Source organism: Homo sapiens, chromosome 2, assembly GCF_000001405.40.
Source record: "Homo sapiens chromosome 2, GRCh38.p14 Primary Assembly".
In the NCBI taxonomy this organism is placed as follows: Eukaryota; Metazoa; Chordata; class Mammalia; order Primates; family Hominidae; genus Homo; species Homo sapiens.
In genome coordinates this window covers 150,731,996-150,743,350 of record NC_000002.12, presented here as the reverse complement: position 1 = coordinate 150,743,350, position 11,355 = coordinate 150,731,996, and the positions used below count along the sequence as shown (strand labels likewise).

The window sequence follows — 11,355 nt, the reverse complement described above, 5'->3', positions numbered from 1 at the left end:
AGGATGCCGGGAACGTTTCTAGTGGTGGAGGTGGGAGTAGGACCAGCTGCCCTTTGGCACATGTATTAAGGCTGGAAGCAAAGGAAGAGAAGACCAATAAGAGTGCCTAGAATAGATGTAAGATTGGATAGGAATTTTAGGCTAATTTATCATTCATTTATTATTTATAAAAGGTTTATCATTTGAACCTTTTATATGATCTTCTTGAAAGTTATTGCCCAGTATCTCCTATGCTGAGAGGATTTTAGAGAAGAGCTAGCACATCTTCAGAGACATACATAAGAGGATAATATTGTTTCCTCTCCCCTGATCTAATTTTCAATATTTTCTACCAGTTATTCTAATTAAGTATCATGGAGCCCAGCACAGAGCCCACGAAGTTCACCTGAGGCAGAGGGGTGGTCAGGTGAGGGGGCTGGATGGGAAACTAAGATGGATTCAGGAGAGACAAAGTACCTTGAAACTTTTAATAAATACTTGGGAAAACTTCAAAAGGAGCTAATTTTAGGCATAAATGCAGAGAAGACTTGAGGCATATAATTGGTATTATACATGCAAATGCAGAGACTCAAGGAGTATCAAAACTGTGCCATTGACATTCAAAGCACCATCACAGTAGATTCTGCTTAGTGAGCTGAATCTCTTACTTGAATGGGCTGAGTTAGGAGGTAGGTCAGTCTGCATGTAACCTTTTTATTTCTGCTGTTATTTCTTTCTTTTCTTGAGCTATTATGATTTTTAAAATATGACTGTTTGTTCTACATCCCCAATTTACCACATTAATGACATTAAGAGAGGTAAGAGACACAAAATAAAGAAACTTAGTTGAACTAGTCGTGACTAGTCTTTATTTCCTTTCCCTTCCTCCTTTTCTCCCTTCCTTCTTTCCTTCCTTTCCTTGTTCTCTCACTCTTTCTTTCTTCCTTAGAAAAAAGTTACCATTTGCCTAACACTGTCTCATGCATTTAATAAGTGCCAACCACACGTCAGTATAACAGCACAGTGCCTAAGGGTCTGAACTCAACATTCAGCTAGGGGCAGTAATCTCGGCTCCACCCACATTAACCAGTGTTTTTTAATTATGGAACAGACAGCGCTACATTTTAGTTTCATTTTGGCCAAAAAGAAAGACTATGTGTCTCGGCTTCCTTGCATCTTGTGATTAATTTTAGCCAGTAGAATATGGTCAGAGTTTATGTGTATCACTTCTAAGTTGGGGTAGTTGTGTAGCTATAGTGCCTTCCTTATGTTCTGTAACCCCTGACTCCATCTTTAATTGCTGGCAAGATGACATTCTTGTGATATTGAAAGATGCAAAATAACAGAGCCCAAATAAGGAGAGTGCCTCTATCTGTGAAATGGCATCCAGAGAAAAGCTGCCCAGGAGAGCTATGTAAACTTGTATAAAAACCAGGCTTTACATGAGGAAGAAATTCACCTTTATTGCATGAAGCCACTGAGATTTTGAGGTTATTTTTATGTTAATTAATGTTGATTATCTTTACATTGGATAGATTTATTAATATCTCTAACCTTCAGTTTCCTCATCTGAAAAATAGAGACAAAATTAACCCCCACTTCAGAGTCATCGCAATTATTAAATCAAGTAAAGCGTCAATTTACAGCCCAAACAAGACTGCACACTACTGATGTGGGAGGACTTTTCAAGGCAAAATAAAGGCTCTATGACCAAAGGGAGAATAAAGGCCCTGTGTCCCAACGAAAAGGTGTGCAGGCAAAACACAGATGCCCGCTGTGAAATTTGTCAGAGGTCTGTCTACACATCATTGCAAAGATTTAAATCCAGGCTTATGTGATTCTCAGACCAAGCTGCTACAGACATTTTGGCTGATGAAAGACTAACTTTGTGATTTATAAATATCTTGAGTTTGTCTCTAATATACTTGTCCAAGTTAGACTGAAAGGATATCCAATCTTTCAAGTTAGATTGAAAGGATAGTACAAGTCAGACAATTGGTTGGGATTTAGGTATTCAAATTGATGACCTTCCTCAAAGGATAGCTCTTCTGTCCTAACTGTGCTCTAAAACTATAATCATAATTCATGAGTGAGTGATATTGATTTATTCATTGCCTCCCACTGTTTATGAAGTGAGGAATACAGCTTATTCCTATTAGTTTCTTAAGATTCAGCCATCATCTTTAAGTATAGAAGATTAGTTTAACACCTTTGGTATGTTTTCCAAGCAACCGAATATACTCTAATTAGATCTGCAAAAGCTATTACCTTGATTATCAGATATACTAATTATCTTGTCAGTCATTGATCTTATAATTATAAGGGAGGATGCTGTTATTTTCAAATGATCAGGACTAAATTCTGCCCTTGAGTTCAGAGGCTCTAATTTAGTCCCAGCCCAGTAGATGTTTACATTATTCTTGTATACACAGTAATTACCTGTAGCTGCATATCTTTATCCTCAAGGCTTTAAAATTAAAGCCTTCACAATTATAAAAAGAAATAACACAAAAATGCTTCACAATTATACAAAGAAAAGGTCCAAATTACCTAATCCCACCACTCTAACATAAAGTTTAATTGAAATCTATCAATGATAAGAAAAGGAATTATATTCAGTTTCATTAATTAAATTTGCTTAATTTTAATCAGTAGACATTATGGATAGATTTTTCTTAATACCTGTCATAATTTGAACAGTGTTTTATGCCATTGGTTGAAAAGATAATAATCTTTGCTTTCTCTTACACAGGCTTCATAAATACTTATACATAACTGTATTATGTTGTGGCTTTGCTTTAAAACATAGGCCATACACAATCACTTTCTGTAGGTACAGGCTTTTTAACATGTTATCATTTATGTCTTCAGGTTAGCAATTGCAACTTTTTCATCTCTGTGGTACTCACTGGTCTTAGGACTGTACTTTACATTATCAAATGCAATACATGTCTTTCACCTTTTTATCCAGCAGAAGTGATGGCTGAACACTTAGAGACGAGCTGTTGTGGCAGCACACCCATTTTCTCTGGCCTATTGATATTTCCCTAAATGTTATCAATCAGTTACCCATTTTTAAAAAGGCTTCATTGTTTAAGTAGTTTTTTATATTAAGAAAACAATATAGTGGGGAAGTTCAAACCACGTCATACCCTACTTGGTCCTATATCCTCACCATAATAACAAATAAAAATCTAATATGATTTGACATGATAACTTTTATCTGTCAGCCTAATGGACATAATATTACCTTCGGGATAACACCAGACAAGTTTAAACCCTCTTCCACGTTATACTGCTGATGAGAAAAGGTTATAAAACTACTTGTATTAGATTAAAAAAAATGTAATATCGTGAAAGAGCTTGGGATGAGGGTTTGGTGATCTGTGTTTACATGCTACCTCTGCCATTTATCACATGGGTGGTGTTCAGTAAATTACGTAGTTTTTTTTTTTTTAGCTTCAGTGTATTAATATAGAAATGAAAAACAATAATATTATCACTATTTCCCTTACAAAGATGTATTTTTACTATGTTTATGGTTGTATAATTTTCGTACTGAAAATTTCACCTTCCAGAAGTATAGTTTCTTGAGTTTTGAGAAATCTATACAGCCATGTAATTACCACCACAATCAAGATCTTATCTCAGAAAGTTCTCATGTGCCTTTGAAATCAGTTCCCTCTACCAACTTCCAGCTCCTGGTAGCCACTTACCTGATTTCTGCCTTTGTAGTTTGCCTTCTTCAGATTGACATACAACTATAATTACATTGTATTTAGCCTTTTGAACCTGGCTCCTGTCAGCTAGCATAATGCTTTTGAAATTCCTCTTTGTTGTTGCATGTACCTAGAAATTGTTCCTTTGTTTTTTTTCTGAGCAGTATTCCAATTTATTTATTGATTCACCAGCCAGTAGGCTTTTGAGTAGCTTTCCAGTTTTTATTATAAACACTTACATACACCTTTTTTGTGGATATGTTATTTATCTTAGATAAACATCTAGGAGTGGAACTGCTAGGTCATAGAACAAGTGGAATACAGTGACTCTTTTTTTTGAAGACAGAGTCTTGCTCTGTCACTCAGGCTGGAGTGCAAGTAGCGCAGTCTTGGGTCACTATAACCTCTGCCTCCCAAGTTCAAGTGATTCTCCTGTCTCAGCCTCCTGATTAGCTAGGATTACAGGCTCCCACCACCATGCCCAGCTAATTTTTGTATTTTTTTAGTAGAGATGGGGTTTCACCATGTTGGCCAGGCTGTTCTCGAAATCCTAACCTCAAGTGATCTGCCTGCCTCAGCCTCCCATAATGCTGGGATTACAGGTGTGAACCAATGTACCGGGTCTGACTCCGTTTTTTATGTTTGATCACAGACAGGTTTCAAGCCCCACCCGGCCCCTTCCCATTTTTTCCCATCTGGACAAGCCATGTAAAAGTCCATGTGCTTGCTCCCTTCCTTGTTGCCAGTGGGGAAGTTCAAACCATGCCATAATTTTCTTTGTCCTATGCCCTCACCACAATAACAAAGCCATCACCCCTTCCTTCGCTCCCACCATTTAGGTTGCCATTTCGGGTTGCTCTGCTCTCCCAGAAAGCCACATTGTGTGAGTAATAAATTTTTCATATCCTCTTGGTGCATATGTTCCAGCATCAGTCTTGGCATCTGAATCAATTTTGTATAGGGAATTGATCCCACCTTAGCAGGGCTATCCCAAGAAAATGAGTATAGATGGGTTTAACTTTAGAAGAAAATACCAACTGTTTTTCTTATAAACGGGCTATACCATCTTGTACTTCCATCAGCAATACATGACAGTTCTGGTTGCTCTGCATCCTTGCTAACACTGTTGTCGGTCTTTTTCATTTTAATCATTCTAGTAAATATGTATTATTATCTCATTGAGGTTTTAATTTGCATTTCCCTATTAGCTAATGAAGTTGAAGATTTTTCCCATGTACTTATGTGTAATCATTTGCAGTCATAACTTCTCTTTGGTAACATGTCTATTCAAATCATTGACTAGTTTTAATTGAATTGCTTGTTTTCTTATTGAGTTTTAAGAGTTTTTGAATATATACTCTAAGTCTTTTATCAGATCAATGTTTTGCAAATATTTATTTCCATTTTGTTGTTTCTATTTTCATTTTCCTAGTACTGTCTTGTAAACAGCAGAAGTTGTTGATTTTAATGAAGTATAATTTACCAATGTCTTCTTTTATGGTTTGCACTTTCTATGTATCATATGTACGATACATATGTATGTGTCATATGTAAGAAATCTTTGCCTAACCCAAGGTCACAACAGTTTTCTCCTTTGATTTCTCCCCAAAGCTTTAGGTATTACATTTAGATATATAATATATTTTGAGCTAAATTTATATGATTTTAAGGTAATGCAGAAAAAGTTGAGATTCTGTTTTGGTTTTGTTTCTATTTTGCATATGAATATCCAATTATCCAGCAGAGTTTATTGAAAAAATACCCATTTCTACATCAAGTTCCCTTGACAACTTTGTTGAAAATCAACTGGCTATATATATATGTGGGTCTATTTCTAAACTCTCTTCTGCCCCATTGATACTAACTAGTCATATGCCAATATTATACTGTCTTGATGCTGTACTTTTATATTAAGTCTTAGAATCAGGTAGAATGAGTTCTCCAACATTATTATTTGTTTTCAAAATTGTTTTGATAACTCTAGGTTTTTTGCATTTCCATGAGGATTATAGAATCAGCTTGTACTTTTTCTTTCTTTCTTTTTTTTTTTTTGAGACAGGGTCTCACTCTGTCACCCAGGCTGGAGTGCAGTGGCACAATCTTGGCTTACTGCAACCTGAGTGATCGTCCTACCTCAGCCACCTGTGTAGCTGGGACTACAGGCATGCACCAGCATGCCTGGTTAATTTATTCTTTGTAGAGACAGGGTTTTGCCATGTTGCCCAGGGTGGTCTTGAACTCCTGAGCTCAAGCAATTTTCTCACCTCAGCCTCCCAAAGTGCTATGATTACAGACATGAGCCTCTGCACCCAGCCCAGCTTGTAATTTTCTATAAAAAACAAGAAAGATACTCTTGGAATTTTGATTGGCATTACTTTAATTCATAGATCTATTTGAACATAATTTATATCGTAACAACACTAAATCATCTGATTCTGGAACAAAGTACCTCTCATTTAATTTCTTTCATTTAGTATATTTCAGAAAGGCTTTCTAGTTTTCAGTGTACAGGTCCTATACATGGTTTGTTAGAAGTACACTTAAATAAATGTTTTATGTTTTCTTTAATGTTATTATTAATAGTATCATTTGTTCAATTTTAATTTGCAATTGTTGATAACCAGTATGTAAAAATATAATTGAGTTTTAAATATTGGCCTTGTGTTATAAAACCTCAATACATTCACAAATTACTTCTAGTGAATTTTTTTTTTTTTAGATTATTTGGGACTTTGTACGTAGATAGATGTGTGGAATAAAGACAGTTTTAATTCTACTTTGCCAGTCTGAATGATTTTCATGTCTTTTTCTTATTGCACTGGCTAAAACATTATAGCACTAATAAAATCACAAGTCATTGCTGGCAATTTTTATTGAGCACTGTGCAAGGAACTTTATGTATATATCGCTCCTTTGGCTATCTGCAACAATGCTAACAGAAGCACACCGTAAGTGCTAGGTAAGGGAAAGGTTCATAGACATATCAACTAGGTCAGATGGAGGCGGTGTTCTTTATTTCAAATGTCTGCTTTTGGTCAGATGTTCATAGCTTATGTTTCTGTATTCTGTATAAATATTGATCTTTTTTGTTTTTGCTTTCTCTAAATACAACGCCATCTATAATACCATTGATGGACTCCTAAGATGAGGACTAATGGCATTATTCTCTGCTTAACATATCATATAATGAAAATAATCATTGATTTTTCTGGAAAAATAAATACGACCATGGTCCTATGTGCGAATTTTGGTTGCAGTCAAATTGCAATTCGGTTCAACACATGTGACTTGAAATCCACTTAGTGCTGTTAGGTACATAAAAGGAGTATATAGATCCTGTGTTGACTAACCCAGCTGCCACTCTCAAATTACTTCTCCTTCCCCACCTCCACGATAGAGACTGAAAAAAGCAAATTACAAACTTTTATGGCCAATGAGATGTTAATGGAGGCCTGATGTTCACTTTTGAAGAAAATTTGCTTTTCCTGATAAAAGAAGGCTAGAACAGACCCATTTTCTTTTCTTCTGCCTTAAACTTGAGACAATGGCAGCCATAGGACAACTATGAGGCTTCATGCAAAACAATGAAAGCCAGCATGCAAAGGAAGAGAGGCTGCATGAAATCAAAAGAGCCTGTGTTATGGAAAGCAGCTTGATGTTATAGAATATGCAGCTTTTTCTCATTGTTAGTGTGGTTACAACAATCTCTTGTACCTTTCAATTTCCTAAGGGGAAGCGTAACTCCCTACCTATGAATTATGTTTCCTCTTCCTTGCAATCACAAAAGCATTTCTAACATACGGTAAGACATAATTGTTCTGGGGACTTAGGAAGTCATGAATTTTCAGTTTCCCCAATAACCCAGCAATGGGAGTGATGTAAATATAAATGGTCCAACATTTCCTCCAAAGGGGGAAAAAAAACGACGACAAGAAATCAAATCAGAAAAAACTCATGTTTTTAGAATAATTACAAGACAAAATTTTTAAAATTCAAATTAACTCTAAGTAACTCTAAACATCCAATCTAAGCAAGCTATTTTCTACAATACTTGTTTATGCTCCTCCTGCTAGCCTTCATAGAGGACAACTTAGGTAAAATTGCACTGAAGAGAAAAGAGGGAAGCTTGCCTTAGTGTTAAGATTGTTCTGAAGTTATCACCATTATGAGAAAGTTAACCCCACATTTGAAAAATTATGCAGTAGGTCATAATATGGCTCACAGGAGAGGTACCTACAGGTGTACCTAGAAGGGGAGACAGTCTTAGTAAAGAAATCCTCCAGGAGAGAAGAGAGTGTTTAAAGGAGGTGGATATCACAACTCAATGTAATGCATAACCTGAATGGTTTTTGCTATAAACAACATTATTGTAATGGGTAATTGATTAAATGATGCCTATAGATTATCTTATAGTACTATATCAATATTAATTTCCTGACATTGGTAATTGTACTGCGTTTATGTAAGGCAACTGGCTTGAGGATATACACACTGAGATATTTAGGGGAAAATATAATACCATGTCTGCAACTTACTCTTAAACAGTTCTATATATATTAAGGAGAGGGGTGTGATAAAACACGGTAAAATTTTAACATTTAGAAAATATGAATGAAGGGCACATGGAAATTCTAATGTTAAGTACAATTCTTGGAACCTTTCTATAAACCTGAATTAATGTCAAAGTTAACAAAAAGAAAGCTTGTTTTTATGTTTTAAATAAAATGTCTCTATTTTCTCTATATTAAAATAAATAAAGTTTCTAGGTTTTTGAAGGCATAATTATAAAATGATAAAATACATGTATTACCAATAGCAAATTAATGCAAAGCAGAAATTTTTAAAATAATCTCATTATAAAATATATTTATGTTCTTTGCCACTTTTAATAGCATCACTAAGGCGGGACTTTATTGTTTAATATGTTTTCTATTCTCTTGACTCAACACACTTAATGTTTTATTTCACAGCTTTTAGTGATAGATACTGACATTGAGTCAAAAATCCATAGGTTTTCTCTGAAAACTCTGGACTGTATTTTGAAAAACATATCAATTTTAGCACCAATGAGGTAAATGTATTACTTCATTGTTAAATAATCTTAATAAGATGTCAACAGCAGAAAAATATTCTCAATCCTCAGCAAGGTCTTCAGGTAATGAAACATTGATTTTTTTTTTTTAACCTCTAAAGTCATTTTGCATGAAGTAAATGAAAAATAGCTATTTGTTTTTAAGGGCACAATCCATTTTCCGATACTTAATTTAATATTTAAAATTATTTATAATCTCTCTACCTTCATTAGCTATTTGTTTAGTTTGCACTAGTACTTTTATGAGTAAATATCCTGAGTTCATTCTCAAAGTACATCTCAAACCAAGATACTGACTTCAATTAAATCATTAGAAAAGTTATACATATGGGGAAGCATCTATATGTTAGTAATGCTTTATGAATCCAATAACTGTGATGTAAAATATATTGGCCTAACAATTATGCTTATTCTTTCATTTATTTAAACATTAGTAAATTTGAAATTACTTTGATATTTAGATCAAACACCTACAATATTCATGAGAATTATTCAGAATCCAAAGTCTCTGTTAATCCAGTTTGAATTCTTTAGCCTCTGATCTTAGCATTAAACCCAATAAAATGAAAAATATCTGATATTTAGTAAGTCGAAAGTATAGTAGTGTCCATTGACCATAAAATCTTGTTAAATAAAAGCTAAACACCCTATGTTGGAGAAATAGCATTGGGATTCTAAGTGAGAGGTGCAGATTAGCTAAAGTGGGGTATTTTCAGAATGGCAAGGAACCTCTGGTCTCTACATATCAGAACATTTCCAGGGTGTCCAAACTTTGAAAACTATTATTTCAAAAGAGCTGGAGGGCCACCTGTTTGTCAGCAAACTCAACAAATGCTAGCCATTGTTATCTATTCTTGTCTCCAAATAAAAGCAGTTTCCTCTGTTTGAAAATAATAAGCATGGCAACTTGACAGAGTATTTGTCTGGCCTTATTTTGGACACCGAGAGAAGTCCTAAATAAACTATTTTCAGCTATGCCTTGCTCCTGGTTTTGACAATAAAAGCTTAACATATTACCTGTTACTGAATGAGAAACTATGTCAAAATTCAGTGGCTTTAGATAAGAATCACTTCTTACCACCCATGTGTCTGTGGGACTTTGCACATTGGCTGACAGGCTGGGCTTGACTGGGAGTCTCAGCTTTAGACTGCGTGGCCTGGGGCCACACTGCTGCTTGCTGTTTCTCTGTGGGTTGGCCGGGGCAGTTTTGTTCTTTCCACCTGTCTCTGTTCTTCCCTCCTGGCTCAGGCTAGGCAAGGCAGATCTTCTCATGACAATGGCAAAGATACACAAAAGCAATGGGAAAGCTGCATTTCTACTTGTATCACATTGGCCCAAATAAATCACCTTCTCAAGTCCGAGGTCAAGGGGCAGAATTTCAAAATCACATGGCAACATATAGGTACAGGGAGCAATGAAGAGTCAGGGCCAAGCATGCAACCTATATTAACATGAGGAAATAACTGATATATTGTCTTAAGCACCATTCCTGTTCCATGTATCATTTCATGTCAGTGCTTCCTGATAAGGGGAATAGTGCTGGCTCACAAAGCTATCAAATATATCACCTTAAAAGGAGGGTTAGCTTTTATAGAAATCACGAATGTTTTTTAGAACTATGGGGCCGATTATTACTTAATATATAACACTGACTTGGTAGCCAAATTTTTTGAGGTTCAGTTTTAATACTTTTCAGAAAAAACCCTGTCATCCATTTGGGGCAAAGAATATCAAGAAATAATGAACTGGCAGAAAAACAATTATCTGTGTATAATAGAGGTGGTAGGAAGCATGAGCTTCTAAGGAAGCTCTGTCTCCTCACATTTAGAACTTAACACAGTCTGGTTCTGGTGATAAGAAATCCCCTCTCTCTGTTACAGTGAGAGAAACATTGACTCCAGGTCAAATAGAAACACAACGACAAAGTGAAATCACTTCAGAGGCCAGTAATTCTGATGGTTTGTTGTATATAGGAAAGTTTGAATCAATGTTTCTTTCAGGATTTCATGATGATTTTCAAATTTAAATATATTGCAAAATCAAGTTGGCTTGTAAACTCTCCTTTTTGTGTTTGATAAAATGTTGTAAATGTCTGAGATATTTCTGAATTTTTAGTAAATACTTCTAAATTATTTTTATTGTGGAGAGTTTTTATGCTTCAGATGTCTGACTAGGAACAGAATGCCTATGAGTTTGTTGTAAACACCTGAAGTAAGAGGGTTTACACTGACAGCACATAAGGAATCTTAACCACTTTGCTAATAGACTGCAATGACTAACAGCATCCATTTCATGCAGTCATGCCACAGTGGCACTGTGAGATCACAGGATCTGACTGGGTAGCTGCTAACATGTTATCTGTCAAGTCAAAGTCACAGTTATAATTATTCACAAGACATAGATTTTTCACATGCTGAAAGAAACATTTATCATTTTTCTATCAGGATGGGTCTGATTTAAGCACATATTCTCTGATTGTACCAGAAATCAGGATTGCTGAGATCTGGGATCTGGTCTTTCTTTACTCTTCCAATTTCTACCTATGGCACTGGTGCCAAGTCCAG

General features: G+C 35.3%; 1 annotated feature.

Annotated features, from left to right (window-relative positions):
* Positions 6,846–7,775: an enhancer, noted in NCBI's record as "OCT4-NANOG hESC enhancer chr2:151592090-151593019 (GRCh37/hg19 assembly coordinates)". NCBI's record gives its function as "activates a minimal SCP1, AML or CMV promoter by ChIP-STARR-seq in naive H9 embryonic stem cells {active_cell/tissue: H9 hESC(naive)}" and the evidence as "EXISTENCE:reporter gene assay evidence [ECO:0000049][PMID:30033119]".